The following is an 18,574-nucleotide window of genomic DNA, read 5'->3' as shown; positions in this document are numbered from 1 at the left end:
AGACAGTTCCATCTTTACCTATTTTTGTCACTACTAGCACAGATGTTATCTCTTTTATCCACAAAACCTGTGATATAGAAGTTATTATTTCCATTTGGTAGATGAAGAATTTGATATTCCAAAAATTTAACTATCTGTTGCAGATTACACAGCTAGTATTACTTAAGTGATTTCACATACTCTTATTATCAAATACAATAGCTTATTATAAGCTAAACTTTTAGTTCTGATAAAAACCTTACATATCCTCTTCATCCTACACTCACACAGTTATTATTTGGACCCAAATCTTGAACTTTATTTTTATAGTCTTCAACTGCCATCTCATTAGGTTCATTCTCCTGCCCCAGGCTATGGACATTTTGGGAGTGTCTTAGTTTATTACTTTGCAAGGTGTTTCTCATTGCTGCAACTCAGTATCTTCTTCAGGCTGAATGACTGTTGTGTATATCCTCACTCAAATCAGTGGGCAAGGTCCTGTGGCAGGCATCTTTCTTCTAGTTAGAGAGGTTGCTGTTTCATCCAGGTTCTACTCTAACCAACTGTCAAATGCATACAGAAATCACCCACATCTATGTCCTTATGTAGTAAAATGGAGGAGAGGACGTGAGCTTTGGAGCCCTATAGACTTGGATTCAAATATTGGCCCCACTACTAGCAGTTAATGTGATTCGTTTTTATAAGTAAATTTGGATGATGATATTAACAAGATACAGTTTGTAAGGATCTTAAAGTCAGTATGAGTTCAGGCCCATTCATCACCGCAGTCGTCAAAGTCAGAAATGACTTTTTTTAATGACCAATTTTTTTATTAACCATCCCTGCCACCTGAGGTCTCATTGATCAATGCTTCCTGATGCCAAAAAATAAATCTCCTCTTTCTCCTTCTCCTCCTTCTTCAGTCCTGTTATGGAACATGCAGCATGAGAGCTCATTTTCAAGTGTGAAGTACACTATTGTTGACTCTAGGTACAGTGTTGAACAGCATATCTCTAGAGCTAATTCATCTTGCTTGACTGAAACTTTATGCCTGTTTGATTAGTAACTCTCATTTCCCCCTCCCTCATCCCCCGGCAACCACCATCCCACTCTGATTTTACAATTTTGACTATTGTAGATACTTATAGTGTAGTCACACAGCATTTGTCTTTCATTTGTCTGGCTTATTTCACTGAGAATAACGTCCTCAAGCTTCATCTATGTAGTTGCATATTACAATATTTCCTTCTCTTTAAAGAATGGAGAGTATTTCATTGTATGTATGCACCACATATCAATTTGTCAATTATTCATGGACATTTAGGTGGTTTCCACATCTTGGCTATTGGGGATAGTTGCAATGAACATAGAAATTCAATGAACATAGAAAACTGGGCAAATGTTCCTCAAAAATACAACTACCATATGATCCAGCAGCCCCACTTCTGGGTATTTATGTAAAAGAATTGAAATCGGGATCCTGAAACATCTTCACTTTAATATCCTTTGTTAGCTGTTTTCCCAATACCAATGTTATGCTTCAATTACTATGATTTTTAGAATCCACTTCCTTTCCCTGCTTTAATATCTGAATGACGTAGGAGCCTCTCCCATTTGCTACAAATCTTGGCTCATGATAATGGCTTAATGATCTTAGTTTTATATTTTGCAAGGATTTTTTTTGGTGGAAATTCATTTGACTCAGGATACTTTAACTATCCTTTTCATCCTACACTGACACAGTTATTATACTCTCTTCAGGAGGTTCAAGAGGTTCCTAGAGTTTCTCTAGGAACTCTATGCCCCTTTGATCTGTTTCTTCTGCCTCCCTGTTCAGCCCCTCAAAGCCAGTCTCCTTTGACAAAGAAGGCAAGCGTAAAGGTGTTTCCGCTTCTTTGTGCTGGCTCTCATTACATCATAATCTACGGTGTGGACTTGTATTTTCCTTGACAAATGAGCAGAGCAGTCCATGTTGGTCCTCACTTCCTGCCCCATCTTCTTATCATGGTGGTGTTTGCTCCCACAGTCATCTGGTTATATTCCATTTTGCTCCATATTCTGTACTTGGTTACTTTACATTTAGGTTCATCAGAGAAGTTTTGTGAAAGCACATTGCTTGATTTAGAAACTTCACTCTTCTTTTACCTATTACCTATCAGGGTGATTTTTAATTCTATACTTTTTAATCTTCTTAAAGACATTTCCAGCTGTCTAATTATTGCTTCTTCCAGGATCTTTTTTCTTCTTTCTTAGAAGAAATGACACTTTTACCCCCATTGGAAGTTTTTGAACCTACTCTTCTAAAGCCAAGAGTTCCTGTGTGACTATAACCGAATCATTTTCACGAATAGGCACCATCTTTTGCGTTGATGTTTGTAAAATAATGGTTTAAGGCCTTTCTTTATTTAGTAATATTCCTGAGGATTTAGTCATCTTTTAGAGATGGAGTAAGTCATATCCTTTTACTCTGAGTCTAGGATTCTCTTCTCTGGATCTTTTCATCTAAAGCTCCACATTTTTCTTCAAAGTACATTTAATAAATATCTCTTATAGACTCGCAGTTGGCCAAACCCTCTGATTTTCATGGATCTTGCCAAGAGAATGTTTGTCTTAACTTCACACATAGAGTGATCTGCATTAATTCTGAGTGAGCTATATGTAGGAAATCTATTTTGAAAGGGCCACCCTCAGGAACATTTCCAAATAAAACCATATGAGAACAGGAGTGAGGATAAACTGTTGTCCATTTTTGTGAAATCCAATCTTATTTCTCCTCCTTTTATTTGTTCTGTGTGCCAAGTGAGTGAGAATCAGAAGGCAGAATGCCATGTAGCATCTTTCCACTTTTTTTGTGTTTGATGACTGGAGATGGGGAGACAGGATGTTCATAGCTAGCCCCCTTGCTCTGTACTCCTTTCTTTTAAGTGAAAGTCCAAGATATGTGACATTTCAAGTTTGAGCCACAACTGTGGCAGAGATAAGCAGTTTCAGTAGCAAACAATTATTTGAAAAATCTTGTGATTTATCCATACTGGGCACATTTTTTTTTTGTATCTGGTGGTATATTTTTCACATTAGCTGTTTCTTAGGATTAGCAAACCAGTGCAAATCTTGTTTCATCCCTCCCTGGGTATTTAGTGTAGTGCCAAGCAAAGCACAGATTAACATATGCTTACTCAGGATTAAGGATGATTTAAAAAAAAAAATTCTTCTGATAAGCAGTAAAATAGAATCCACACAGTTCAGTGGAGTCCACAGATGGGATGTTTTTGTTAGTGCCAGTAACCAACCCTAAACCTCTAGTCCCAAGTTTCCAAAGGCTTTAGGTTAGACTTCATGAAAGTTAAATGCCAAACAGCAGTAAATGCTAATTTACCATATTCTTAATTTTCCTCAATCACTACAGTGTTGCCTATGATTGCTCCATGGCAAAGAAGAGAACAGCTGAAGATCAGGCTTTGGGGGTTCCAGTCAACAAAAGGAAATCCCTGCTAATGAAGCCCCGACACTACAGCCCAAAAGCAGACTGCCAAGAAGACCGCAGTGACAGGACAGAGGACGATGGCCCCTTGGAAACACATGGTCACTCTACCGCAGGTAGCAAGGAGGAGAGCCCAAACTTTACCTGCTCCCTGGCTCCAAGGACTCTGTGCTAATTCATGTAGAGTGTGTGGTTTGTATGGTTTGTATGGTTGTAAAAGTACATTAAGATTTGGAAGCAAAATGAAACATTTATTTTACTTGACATTCATTTATTGAGGACCCAGTTTTTAATCAGTAACTGTGGAGGGTCCATAAATAAGCAACAGAGAGTCTTGCCCTATCCGTTTTCAAAAGCAGACGATTGAACTATGCCTCTTTTTGAAGAAAATACAAGATACTAAGTCTTAGAGTTGAAGAGTACTTTTTCTTCCTAATAGGAAGGATTCCTGAAAGAATCCTTTAAATTCAAGGGCATATTTAAACTTTAAGACACCTTTGCAATGATCAAGTTATATATAATGTTCATTAGTGATGATGATATATATATGTATATATTACAGTTAAAAATTTTTTTTAATTTTTTTTATCAACATGTATGGTTTCTACTCCAAAATATAATTGGTAATAACAACATGAACCAATGCAAGTGGTCTGTGGCCTTAATATTTTTAATATTTTTGAATAAATGCTTATAGCAATCAAGTATAGAAGCAACCTCAAGTTGGCAGACTAGTCTTCTTCAGAAGGAGACTGAAGGAAAATGATGTATTGTAGAAAAGTTATCACTGTGCCCATTATTTCAAAAATAAGTTATTTAAGTTTCTCTTTAGGTGCACATTTTAGTTAATTGATTCGCTTCTTCACTTACTCATCAAACACCTTTTGTGTGCTAAGTGAAAAGTAGTTACGTTTCAAAACTTTAGGATTTCTTTTTTCCCCATTGAATGTTATTCACATTAGTTCCTGGTAGTCACATGCCTCTAGGAGTTTGAATATCACTGATCACTTTGTGCATAAGGCGAAGCTGAGGGACATGCAAAAACTCTCAAAAATTATAGAAAACAATTAAGATCTAAAAATTGACTTAGAAAATGAAACTAGATGTATATTCTACTAAACATGATTTTTTTCTGAATGTGAATTTTAAAGGAATCAAAATATACTAAATAACTTGTTATTTAAAAATAAGTACTAATTATGCAAACAAAAGGCAATGAGATTCTTATGTAATAAATTTTTATGGCATGTAGAATCATAGTTAGCAATAAGAATTAATAGAAAAGATTTAAGGGCTTACTTATGAGTGAGCACAAATCTCAGTTCAGAATCATCCTAGATCCAGTAATACTGGCTTGAAAATAGAGTTTGCAATTCTGCGCTTAAAACAAAGTTGTATTCTGATTTGAAGGTATTTAAGTAAATTCTTTGGCTTTTCTGTATTTAGCATGTGATTTAAAGCCTCATAGCTCATCTGTAAATTATAATCACCCTTGACTTTTTTTTGTTTCCTTGAACTGATCAACTTTATTTGTTTTGTTGTTGTTGTTGTTTTGGTGGGTTTTTTTTGTTTGTTTTATTTTGGTTTTTGGTGGTTTTTTTTTTTTTTTTTTTTTTTTTTTTTGATGGAGTCTCACTTTGTCGCCCAGGCTGGAGTGCAATGGTGGGATCTCAGCTCACTGCAACCTCCACCTCCCAGGTTCAAGCAATTCTCCTGCCTCAGCCTCCTGAGTAGCTGGGATTACAGCCACACCCAGCTAATTTTTGTATTTTTGGTAGAGACAGGGTTTCACTATGTTGGCTAAGCTGGTCTCAAACTCCTGACCTGAAGTGATCGCCTGCCTCAGCCTCCCAAAGTGCTGGGATTACAGGTGTGAGCCACCATGCCTGGCTCCGTTTTATTTGTTGATTCATGAAAATTTGCAAGTTGAATCTAGTATTAGGGAAAGTCTTTGAATCATTTGTGGTTAGACTTGCAGTATAATCCATCTAGCTAACATTAATTTGCCAAGTGTTTAAGAAAATGTGTGTGCGTTTGCATCAGCACATTCTTTTAAGTGTTGTGAAGACAGACTATATCTGGCTCACTGACTTGTCACCTTCTATTGTAGTTTGTTGACCACTGTACATGTTTGATATGAACCAAGTGAATATATTGTCCAGATGTCCTCCAGTTAAACACACAGTTACAAGCACTGATGGACATCTATTTGCAGGTTCACAAAAATAGGCTAACTATGTTTATATTTCATATTAGAACCACTAATAATAATAATGAATATGCTAAAATTACAGCAGTGGTGACCATTGTTTTTGAGTTCTTAATATATTCCAGACACGTAAATGATATCGATTAATCCACATAATGCCACGAGTGTGTGTGATTATGGGCACAGTTTTACAGATGAAATCATTGGGGACCAAAGAGATTTGACGCTGAAGGTAATGGATCTTATAGGTGTTAGAAGGAAGATAATTAGGAAACAATTGGAAGGACAAGCAAAATAATTATTTCCCAACTAACTATGCTCTGTAATTCAGTTGTCCTCACACACTGACTACCTTCAGAATGCAGAATGGTCAAAGTTCCTACAATGTCAAATCATGAAGTCACAGTTTCCAGTAATGGCAGGCCCCATGCCTGGTCAAAAGAACAAAGATTCTAAGTTGCCTTCAGCCCTCTGAACAAGTTACCCCCCACCCCCTAGGAGGAAAGAGCACTGAGTTAGTGCCCAAGTCAGCATAGGGCTTTTCATCTAGCCTCTCATGTACTCTGGTTACCCCAGGGTATTTACCTGGCCAGGTGTGTGCCCAATTATATCATCTGCAGCTGGGAAGCTCAGATGATGAGAGAAGGGATAGTGCTCAGGAAGAGACTGAGGTCAGGAGCTTGAATGCTAAAGTTTTATTCCGCTTTATGGCACAGACTTCATCCATATCCTCAACCTGCTGTCTTTCAAAAAGATACAGGTTGCCGTTAAGGGGATAGAAGAGAACATGGACAAACCATGCAGTTACCTCTTCCTTCCTGAGGAGACGAGCTTGCAAAGTACTACCAGAAGGGAGGAAGAGTGATAAGCACAGGCTTTCCTGACACAGGCAGGGAGAATGAAAGTCTCCGGAAGGAAGATTAACCAAGCCCAGGTGTGGGGTCCCCAGCAGCGTAACCACAAGCTCATGGGGAAATATGTCACAGTCATAGAAGTTCTAGGGGCTGGGAGGACACTTTTAACACATTATCTTTCAACTAATAGCAAATAAGGGATAAACCACTCTGCTTTCGGAACTTTGAAAGATGAATTCATTTTTCCAAGGCTTTTATTCCCAGCAAAATGTACATATTCAAGAGGCCTGGAAAACCAATTTACCTATAAAAGTAACCTAGCTAGTTACAGAAACAGAACTGAAATCCAATTATAATAACATCCAGTGTTACTAAAGGAGACAAACTCAAAATATGTTGTGACTTTCAGAGGATGTTTTAAAGTTGTATCTTTGCAGAACAGCCAACATCTATGCCGGGATTCATTAGTATGTATCTGTAGGATTACCAGAAAACTCTGAGTAGAGGTCTTGGTTTAACGTAAATAAATAACTGTGAACTTGTATGTATCAGGCAGAAACATTTACTTTTTACTCTAGAAATCATCCCAGCTCCAGCCGCTGCTCCCTCCCCACACTGTGAATGTGCTCCGGATGGAGAAAGGCCTGGACCAGCGAACAGTCTGCTCACTGGCTGGCTGTAACCCTCTGGTTATGCCCTCCCAAGAGCTGACCCTAGACATTTTTTGACCTATTAGAGTTTTGTTGTTAAGAAAGTTGAGGTTGGAACACTTTTAGTTTTTGTTTGGTCATGTTGTTTATTTTATTTATAATTGATCATCACCTTTCTTCTCATTGAAAGTTACCTGACAATTGGCCAGGCGCGGTGGCTCACGCCTGTAACCCAGCACTTTGGGAGGCCGAGGCGGGCGGATCACGAGGTCAGGAGTTCGAGACCAGCCTGACCTACATGCTGAAACCCCATCTCTACTAAAAATACAAAAAATATTAGCCGGATGCGGTGGTGTTTGCTTGTAATCCCAGCTACTCAGGATGCTGAGGCAAGAGAATCACTTGTACCTGGGAGGCGGAGGTTGCAGTGAGCAGAGATTGAGCCACTGCACTCCAGCCTGGGCGACAGAGGGAGACTCCGTCTAAAAAAAAAAAAAGAGTTAGCTGACAATTGCATTCTAGTAACTTCATATAAATTCACTCTTGAAAATATCCGAACTTGAGAAAATAATGAGCTACTAGTGTTCTTAGCTGTTTCTCCTAAGGGTCGCTGTGTTTCCAAAACACCAGCCAGGACATACAGCCTTCCATGGCTGTGGGACCTGGAGTAGTATGTTTCAGAGGGCAGAGCATGGAGTGGGAGCCACGCAGCCCTGGTCCTGTGTCTCAGTCTTGCACTGGCTGGGCATGTGGTCTCGAGCAAGCCTGGCCCTCTGTAGAATTGTAGTTTCCCTTCTGTGAACTGGAGTAGAAAATGCCTTTCTTGTGCTTATTGTGACAATTAAATGAAATAAACAGCTGAACACCATGCCAGGAACAAACAGTTTGTTGTCCTAGGAGGGATCCTTGAACTATCCATCCAGTCATCACATCATTGGATCTTCCTTGTTTTGAAGATGAGGACCCAGTCTCAGGCAACCAAGGGCCTGTCCAAGGTCACACAGCAGGTAGTGCCAGGCCAGCCACACCACCTTATACCCCTAGAGGTTTCTTCCTCCACATCGCATATCGTGCACTCACTCATAGTTTCCAAAGGCAGTTGGTGAACATGGCATAGTGTGCTGGGAGTGGGGATGAACTGAGTTGAGCCTTCTCAATAGTGGGACCCTGCCCGTCCTTGGGGGTCAATGTTAGTAATTATCCTAGGTAAAAAACTAAGCCCATCTTATTTATGATAAAGGTTGCATAGAATCCCTGCCACGACTACCTTCTAAAATAGTAGCTGGGGCAGGGGCAAGAGAGCCACCCTTGACTGGATACCTATTGGGTATTCCCGTGTGGCCTCCACAGGGTACACAGGGTGATAACTATTGTCCTCAATGTGCCTACGGTGGTGCCAAGCTCAGGCAGGTGACGCAGCCCCACCGAGCTTGCAAGAGAGGCCGCCAGGATCAGAACTCAAGCTTAGGTCCACCTGATGCTAACAACAGGGCTTTTTAGGTCAGTTCAGTGGCAGAGGCACAAAATAAACCACCAGGCCCCCAGAGAAAATAAACACACACAGCCTGAGAAAATGAAGGCAACCCATTGCAAAGCTGGGAGAAACAAGCACCCCATCACAGATCTCTCAGCTTCCAAAGCAAACCCAACTTTTTTTCTTATGACTCCAGTGAAAGCCTGGGAGGGGGGTGGAATGTGGAAAGTTGGTTTGCAGATTTGCAGAACATCCCTAGAAACCCGCGTGTGCTGTGCAGGCACCTCTGTCAGTGGGGCTCCTCTTTTTCTGAGGAATAATTAATAAATATTTTCTTTTAGCATATAACAAACAGTTGAACCAAACAATTATGTAAACTGGAAATGACCCAAAATGCGAGCAGTTGGCAGCAGCACAGTGAAATGCATTGTCGTGCACATGTGCATTTTTGTCACTCCCGCCTCTCTGGTGATCTGCACTTAATAGGAATATTTTAAACTATGTAGCTAAGCAACAGAGGTAATTGTTGCTTTCTAGAGCTTTTGTTAGCACTCTAACACAGCCCAAATATGCATAATTAGGTATAATGTCTATAAATCATTATCGTACACATGTGGGTAGTTAAGTGGAGTGAGAGAATAGTTCAATGAATTGAGCATATTCACTGAAAATGCTTTTTATTTGTTTTCTGTAGTTCATAATACTTTAAAATTATCATAACCCTTTACACTTTCTCTTAATAGCCAACTGTGATATTGAGAAAAACTTCATTTGCATTTTAGACTATGTTTAATATATTATTTAAACCTGGAGTTCCTCTGATATGAATTCAGGAGAGGATAGGCTATCCTATCAAATATTATGTGCCTGTTTATCCAGCCTCTTTTCTAGGAACTAAAATGTTAAATTTTTCAGTTTATGTTGAATAGATCCCAACAAAAGACTGCACCCTATAATCAGCATTATTTACAGGGGCTAGTGTTGTGACTGAATTCTTCCCTTCATCCAAAAATGCTTTTAGTTACTATGGCAATATTTACTTGATCCTGGCAGTCCACTGTTGATTTAGGGAGATAATTACCAGAAAGGAAGATGATGGAGATGTATTTTTGAGTGTCCTTGTCAGAGACAATGTTTATAAAAAATTAAATGAGACCAAAAAGACACATTGTCTTCCGCACAGACACTCTCTCCCTCAGTGCTCACACCGGATGGCTGTGCTTTTCTTCCCTCCAAAGATGTTTATTAGCACAGAATGCACTGCTCTTGGTGTCTTTAACAGTCTTGAATGGGGCATATTACTGGGTGCTTCCCATCCCCCCACCCTGCTTTTGAGACACAGAAACAGTCCTCCTATTTTTTGGATGTCTGGGCACTGTTGCAGGCACTTCACAGCCTGGTGTGAGCTGGGCACACCCCACGTGCCTGGGCCTGGGCTGGAGTCACCTGTGAATCCACCCTCACTTGCTGTGTCTTGCACTGGGACAGGCTTGGGTAGGCTCATTGTTGTCTATACACTCTGTCACCCCAACCTGGCCACTCCCAGAGCAAGAGGGGGTGACACTGACAACAATGGCTGCCTGGGACAACAGCCACCCCATAGACTGTCCTGGACCCTGGACAGACAGGCACTGGGGGCTCCTCACGGGGTGCCTTCACGTTCAGGACCCAAAGTAGCCTTGTACTGAAAACAGCTAGTTGCCATTCAGCACCCTCCAATGCCCCACCTTGTCTCATTTCCTTGTTACACAAGTGCATGCAAGTAATGGACCAGAAAATGTGTTACTATTCAAGATATGATTTGATCATGCTAATTTCCCTGTTTGTGTTTCCTTCAATATGGAATTTTAGGGTGACAATTACAAAGGTAAACAGGAAGTCTTGAAAGCCTCAGAAAGATGTATTTTGTATCTTAGCTAACATTCCATAAAATCTGAAAGTATGGAAAGCTAACATTCCATAAAATCTGAAACCAAATGGCTTTGAAAATACATTGCCATGCTAACAGAGAAACTCATTAATATCTCCTTTACAATGTATACTATTATATATATTTGATTTTCTTCTGGTTGGCTAAGAGTTAGGAACCTAAGAAGTACAGTAACAATAATTTCACATTCAGCAAATACTATTATTGTTAAGTATCTACTTCTTGTCTTGGTCAATACCCCAGAAGTACTTACCTCTTAACATGTTGGAAATTATAATAGCTCATTTCTTTTAACACAGTTCTTAGACTATTAAGGTCTAAGTTTTCTCTTAAGAGGATATATGTTTTTCTCACCAATGTTTATAAAATTAATAGAGATGATATATTACACATATTATGTATGTATATGTGTACATATATGTATGTGTATGTACCTATGTATGTGAATGCATATGTTTATATACATATAACTTGTTGCAATTTTCCTAAAATATTTTTTGTTCTTGCTCTTCAAATATTGGTTTTCTTTTTCCATAGAGGAAATCATGATAAAACCTATGGATGAAAGTCTTCTTTCAACTGCACAAGAAAACTCCAGTAGGAAGGAAGACAGATACTCTTGTTATCAAGAGCTCATGGTCAAGTCTTTAATGCACTTGGGGAAATTTGAAAAAAATGTATCTGTTCAGACTGTAAGTGAAAATTTAAATGACAGTGGCATCCAGTCTTTAAAAGCAGAGAGCGATGAAGCAGACGAGTGCTTTCTGATTCATTCTGATGATGGAAGAGACAAGATTGATGATTCTCAGCCACCCTTCTGCTCCTCTGATGACAATGAAAGTAACTCTGAAAGTGCAGAAAATGGCTGGGACAGTGGCTCCAACTTCTCAGAAGAAACCAAACCACCTAGAGTCCCAAAGTATGTTTTAACAGATCATAAAAAAGACCTATTGGAAGTTCCTGAAATAAAAACTGAAGGTGACAAATTTATCCCTTGTGAGAACAGGTGTGATTCTGAAACAGAAAGGAAAGACCCGCAGAATGCTCTCGCAGAACCCCTGGATGGCAATGCCCAGCCCTCATTCCCTGACGTTGAGGAGGAAGATAGCGAGAGCCTGGCAGTAATGACGGAAGAGGGTAGTGACCTGGAAAAGGCCAAGGGGAATTTAAGTTTGCTGGAGCAGGCAATTGCTCTGCAGGCTGAGCGAGGTTGTGTTTTCCATAACACCTACAAAGAGCTGGATAGGTTCCTGCTGGAGCACCTAGCAGGGGAAAGGAGGCAAACCAAAGTTATCGACATGGGTGGAAGACAAATCTTTAACAATAAACGTAAGACACATTTTTGCATTTATTTTAGGAATAAAAGTGCATTAGGGTTTGAAAAAAAAGTCAGATTTGATTATTTTTTTCAGGTAGCTTTTTAACAGTTTAATGCAACTTAAAAATCAATTTATAATTATAAAATAAACAATTTCTTTCTTTTCCCCCACTCTCTAGATTATCCTCCAATCAAGCTGTGTTAATTTTGGACTATTTTCACACATGAAAAAAGGTTCATTGAATCTATTTCTCTTAATTTAACTGTTTTTTATAAATGCATCATACCTTTAGAAATAACTTTATTTGACATTATTGGAAGTACATCAGTATTTACTGGATCTTAAATCTTCCAGAAACTTAATTTTTCTTTCCCACCCTCATTCTTGGATTATCTAACTTGCTAGCCAGGCAGGATGCTCTGGTCCTTTTTGGGATAAACCTAGATGTTAATGCGTTTATGAGCCTACGCTTTCACTGGCTTTCTAACTCGGGGCTCATACATCTCTGGGACAAATTTGAATGAGAGAGTAGGTGTGCTTTGAGGAGGCTTTAGAATTGTTCTTCAGACCTTGAGAAAAGTGTGTTCCTGCTTCCCTGGAGCATTCCCCCTGCTCTTTCTCCCCGGAGTCTTGCACCAGATGAGCCTCATGCTATTTCTAGCAGTTTTATGGAGCTTCCCAAGAGCAGTCCTTAGTGCCTAGAATGCTTGTTTAAGATGAGTATTTTCAGATCCCATCATCATCAGTTCTCCAGCATTTGCATTTTTTTCTCTAAGTTTCCAGGTGATTCTTGGTATCTCTGAAACCCGAGAGCCACAAAATTAGGGAGAGGAGTACCTTAGAAAAAATCAGGGCAGTGGACCCAAGGAGCTTACAAGAATAACATGTTAGTGTGGTTGAGAAGTTCTGATTGCTGAGAGTTATCCAGAAACAAATTATATATTTTGTCATTTTAAATCCATTTTAGCACTCACCTGCAATCTTGACAAATAATGTCTTGCATCTCAGAGCTGAGAAAACAAAAAAGGATAAAACGGTGTCATGTAGTGAGGAGCAAGATAATGCCATGCAAACATCCTGCAAGGGTTGGAGTGGGAACAGAATATTAATGACTAGCCTGTGGTTCAGGGCAGGACACTGTATCTAGCTCTGTGCACTCCCACTAATGTGCAACTTATTGTATTTAACTTTTTAAGTAAACTACAAAATCAGAAAAAAAAATGAAATTTACTCAAAATTCCCGAAATCCACAATTTCTGATATACTATATATTATTGATCTTAAGAGATATCATTTCTCCATTTTTATTTATTTATTTATTTATTTATTTATTTATTTATTTATTTATTGATTTTTGAGTTTTGCTCTGTTGCCCAGGCTGGAGTGCAGTGGCGCCGTGTCGGCTCACTGCAAGCTCTGCCTCCCAGGTTCCATTCTCCTGCCTCAGCCTCCCGAGTAGCTAGGATTACAGGTGCTCACCACCACAACCAGCTAATTTTTGTATTTTCAGTAGAGACGGGGTTTCCCCGTGTTGGCCGGGCTGGTCTGGAACATGATCCATCCGCCTCGGCCTCCCAAAGTGCTGGGATTACAGGTGTGATCATTTTTCCATTTTATCATCTCTGAACTCAGAAGAGTATGCGATAGTTTAATTACCAATCATTTTTTTCTTTCTAAGTAGCACACAAAATGATGATTTCTTTTGTTTTGTTAAACAATTGATGATACCTTACAGGCAATGAAACCTAGTATTTACAGAAACTTAATTATTTGAGCCACATCTTAAAGTATTTGATGATCCTTAGAATAATTTTATAGAGCTTTTGAAACTTCTTTTTTTTTGTTTTCAAAAATTCAGGACATATAATCTGTGTTTGTAAACATTTGGGCCAATTGGAGGCTTACCGAATTCCTACTAGGGCTGGATGACTCAGCGGTATATCCTAGTGCCTGAGGCATGGGGGCAGCCTCTGCAAGATCAAGACCAGGCAGGCTAGTCAGCAAAACAGGTGAAGAAGGTGAAGCCCACATTGAAGAAGAGCCACAGGCTTAGTCTAGAGGAGGCCTGCAAACTGAGTATTCCCTTTCCTATTCCTTGTTCCCGATGTGGGATCCAATGGCACAAGAAGGATGTTTTTTCTCTCTGACATGCACTCCATGCTGTTAAGTCAATGCTTATCCCAACTGACAGCCATATTCTCCAAAATACCAACCTAACCTCCCAGACAACACCTTGACCATGCAACTTCACTGTTAAGGAGAAAACTCAAGAGTTTTAAAATCTCATTTTACCCCAGCTTTCAGATGAGTCAGCAATTCTAAAATTAGTTTGGTTAGACTCTTGCCACTAAGCATTTAGTGAGATTTAGGTTGCAATGTAAGTACAGTCGCCCTGTCATTGACTGTCCTGCCTATGAAAAGGGGAACACTATGAACCATTACATGAGTACATCAGGTGTGGATGAGGACAGTCCCAGGAAAACCAAGGTGTAACATCACCAGAGTATAAGGTCACCCTCATTATGCAACATTGTACAAAGAAAACAGAGGAAGAGCCAAGCCTGAGAGTCGCCCCAGGCTCAAGCTCTGGCTTCTTATCATGCAAACAGGTTCTGCTCTCCAGAGCATTTCCCTGCATCTTTGTTTCACCCAGCAGAGGAGGGACTTACAGACAAAGGGGCACGGTGGACTGTCAGTGGGCTGCACTTGGGCAGGAGCCAGGCTGCCTTATCTCTAGCACCCTCTCGGGCTTCCTGCAGACAAACAGTGTGGCGAGGAGGGGAAGTGTGCGACGCCAATCCTTTCAATGTGGTTTAGAAACGTGACCTTACCTGGGCAAGGTCCAAGAGAGGAAGGGCATCGAAATACACATTATTGCTCTTCTCCTTTTTTTCTAACTTACTCTCCTATGGTGTCAGCTCCCCTCAGTTCCCCTAATCAGACTTTAAGAATTTGGACCTAGTGGTCTACAGATTTCACATCAACTTGAAATTTGGCACTATTTTTGGATTAAATAAAACATATATCCACAAATCATGGAGCATCACAAAACTCTTAATTTGTCTATTACGAAATGCAGAGAGAATAGTATCGACACGGGCACATTTAGGTCCTATCTTTCCTAATGTAAATGCCTGCTGCTGGCCGCAGCCCCATCATCTGGCCGTTCGTTGCTCATTTAAGACTTCCTGCCTTGTCTCCTGACCTCCCTGACCCTCAGCGCAGAACGACTCGAAGGATCCTTGGCTCTTCCGCTTCTGCTGAATCCATGCCCCCATATAATTGCATTACATACAACCTGCTGTGCCCCATCTGCCTAGGACTGTTTATCATCCAGCAACTGGGGTGCCATGGTATGGCAGAGGCACGTCTGCTCTCACAATACAGCACCCCGGAAATGTCTGTCGCATCCCGTGACAGTGGCCAGACTTCGTGCCCCGTTGCACAGGAGCACACGAGGCTCCGCACCCTCGCACGCAGGCCCCATGTTCCAACGTCAGCATCTTCTCGGGCAGGACCACACTGCCTGTTTCCACTATCAGCATCTAGTGTGCTCATTATTCCTGAGGCCTCATGTTGCAGACCCCGATAGCCTCCTGTCCTCCTGCATTGCCCCTCTCTGAGGGCTCCTGTGCATCTTCTCATGCTCTTTCTTCTCCGTGCCCCAAGTGCCGTGGGACAGGCTCTCCCCATGGTTGGTGTTATTCCCAGCACAAGTTAGGGGGCAATTTGGGCTTTAAGAGTGCATCTTTGTTTCACCTTTATCTGCCATCTCAGTCATGAATGTGAACATTTCTGAATAAGGCCTCATCTGTGTTAGTTCTAAGCTCACCAGTATTCATGTTTGGTCCTCATTTATTGTATATATTTATATAACTTTTTAAGTTGTGGCAAAGTGTGTGCCAGAAAATCAAACCCCAAGCTTGTCTGGAGCCTCACCCTCCCCAGGCACCCAGAAAATGCATGAGCAGGTGCCCCTTACCATGACCGGCTGCTCCCGTGGGCCCCACCCACACTGGTGTTCCTGGGGGTGCTCTCTGGACCGCTGCTCGGTGGCCTGCACTCTTTGCACTTCTATTTTCTGGAAGTCTCCTGCAAGAACATTTCCCTTCCAAGTCTTCCTGCTGCCTCAGTTTTCAGATTCTGCATTTAGAGTGAGATCAGCAGCTTCTTCCCCGTGCTCACTGCATGCTGAACCCAAGTGGCAACCCGTGGGGGTGTTGGAATCTCGAGACCGTGAATCACTAGCACTGGACAGACAGGACACAAGCCAGTGTCCTTGCCCTGTCCTAACTCCGCCAGCTGCTCTGCAGGGAGCAGGCTCTGCTCTTCACTACCAAGCCCAAGGACCTGCAGGGCCAAGGCCAGACAGGTCTTTCTCAGATATGGTGGTTTCTTTGTTTTTGTCATTTTGAGTCTGGCTTTTTCTAGACTTTCAATAAGAAATGGTTTTGGTTTAAATAAATTCTGTCTCACTATTTTTTCTTTTCGGGAGCCTGTTCATCCCCTAGCACAGGGTTGATTTTTCATAATGAGGCTCTAACTACAATATGTGACTTGACGACTTAAAACCATCTCTGTATTTTAACACTCTCTTGCCCTGTGTCAGCCTTTACTTAGGAAACCAAGAAAATTGAAAACATGTTTTCCGTTTCCACAGGTCTTAGTTGAGGGTCTTGTTCAAGGCGATGTGAGAAGAATGTTTATAACGGTAAAACTGAATAAAGTGAGAATGTCACCCTGCAAGGCCATTCTATTGAATGGGAAGAAAAGCAAGAATAACCAAATGCATTTCTCAATTGAATTTCTCCATAGATTCACCAAGGCCTGAAAAGAGGGAGACCAAGTGCCCGATCCCTGGATGTGATGGCACGGGACACGTGACAGGGCTCTACCCGCACCACCGCAGCCTTTCGGGGTGCCCCCACAAAGTGCGGGTTCCCCTGGAAAGTGAGTACCACTTGTCCCTCAAAGCTTCTGCTTATGCACGCCAGATCATCAAGATGTTATCCTCTTTGTCTCCCAATTTGGAATTAGGAATGGAAACAAACTTTTTTAAACTATGTCAAGCCAATTCCATCTAGCTGTGGGTTTTAAAATATAGTGTATTTATAGAAAATTCAAGGTGCAAGAAAGCCAACAGATCAAGAGACAATTGCCATAGGAAAGACAGCTAGTTCCTCACAGTGTCCAGAGGAAGGGCCAGGCCACAGCACAGAGGGCCACACAGGAAAGCACCAGGGAGTTCAGGGGTAGAGGGAGTGCGGACAGTGGGCCAGAGTCTTTATGGTGGTTTCTGATGGGATGGGGTAAGCAGCCTTAGGACTGGCCAGTTTGACTGATTTCAGCAGGCTCGAGGGCATAGGGGCTGTCCCTAGTTGTCTGGTACCTGCCTCTGGAGCAATCAGGGCAGAAGAACAGTGCCCCAGAGGGTGAGCGCCCAGTAAAGGAGGTAGTTGGGCTGTGGGTTCCAGATTGGCTGGATTGCATTTTTAAAGTGTGCTTGTGGGAAAGTTGTTCATTCTCTCTGGGAATTGGCTAGCCTGGGAGGGGCAGTCCCTCCAGAGTTAGCAAGGCCCCAGATGTTAAATCACCAGAATATAAAAATAAGTCATGGTTATTAAACTGTGTGACTACACAGTTCTGTTTCACCTGGAGGTATGGATTCCTTAAGCTCAGGACCAGTCAGCCTTGACGCATCACAGAGCAGTCACCATGGTCCTCCTGGCCTCCTCTCGCAATGGGAATATACTCCTTGGTGTTGTCTCAGGACATCCTGCAGCAGTGGAGGGCCCTGAGTAGGAGCAAGCCTTGGCCCCCTCTCCACCCTCAGCCCCGCTGTGAGCTATCTACTGGCAGTGAAGCAGAGGGCTGCCACCTTCTACATTGTACAATATCGACCTGTTACATCTTCCACTTTGTGAACCTACCTATTGACACATCTTTTGGGCCAAAACAAATTGCAAAAATGGAAGTGCTTAACATCATTCTTCTCAAAAGTGAGATTTTGCAAGTCACTAAGTCTAATCAGCTCAGTGCTGTCCTGCCAGTTTAGCAGTTCCTCAGACTGGTTCTCTGGCTCTTCGCTCAACCATACTTTTCTCCCAGTAACCAAATGGCAGTGGGGTGTGGGGAGTAGCGGGTGGATGGACAAAGAATCAAAATGATATCACTTAGAAAATAAAGAAGACCATACGCAGAACTTCAAACTGCAGGGAAAAGATAGAAAGAACTATATGACAAACGGCATGCTCCATCCATCCCCCAGGGAAAATCACATTCAGGTGATGGGAAGGTTACAAGTTTTCAGTTTACGTTAACTATAAGCAGAATCATCTCACTGAAGTCTAGTGTAAACACAACGTGGAGTTTAGAGAAATTACAACTTGATCAAGCTTGCTGGATTTAATTTCTGAAGTTCTTCCATGCTCACTTGTTTGTGTCTGAATAGAGAGAGAGAGCATGGTGGATGATGGAACTGAAGTCATTTAAATGCAAAGTTGAGAGATACACGTGTTAGTGTGCTTTGTATTTATGGTAAAGTATTCTTTCCTTTATGTGTTGTTTTGTGCTTAGTTCTTGCCATGCATGAAAATGTGCTCAAGTGTCCCACGCCGGGATGCACAGGAAGGGGTCATGTGAACAGCAACCGCAACACCCACAGGAGGTAATTCTCAT

At 41.3% G+C, this 18,574-nt stretch overlaps 1 protein-coding gene across 61 annotated transcripts in view; it reads left to right on the top strand.

The window, feature by feature from the left end:
- ST18 (ST18 C2H2C-type zinc finger transcription factor) overlaps nucleotides 1-18,574 on the top strand; it is a 299,042-nt gene that overhangs the window by 226,182 nt on the left and 54,286 nt on the right. For 54 of the 61 annotated variants that reach the window (NM_001352871.2, NM_001352836.2, NM_001352872.2 and 51 more), the window contains 4 exons: nucleotides 3,386-3,576; nucleotides 11,115-11,906; nucleotides 16,712-16,846; nucleotides 18,473-18,563. In NM_001352871.2, coding sequence (NP_001339800.1) covers nucleotides 3,386-3,576; nucleotides 11,115-11,906; nucleotides 16,712-16,846; nucleotides 18,473-18,563 — 1,209 coding nt within the window. Of the gene's footprint in view, nucleotides 1-3,385; nucleotides 3,577-11,114; nucleotides 11,907-11,945; nucleotides 12,130-16,711; nucleotides 16,847-18,472; nucleotides 18,564-18,574 lie in introns of those variants that run through there. The other 7 variants (NM_001352858.2, NM_001352860.2, NM_001352859.2 and 4 more) reach the window with 4 other exon arrangements.

Source organism: Homo sapiens, chromosome 8, assembly GCF_000001405.40.
Source record: "Homo sapiens chromosome 8, GRCh38.p14 Primary Assembly".
NCBI lineage: Eukaryota > Metazoa > Chordata > Mammalia > Primates > Hominidae > Homo > Homo sapiens.
This window is presented reverse-complemented; position numbering and strand designations above follow the sequence as displayed.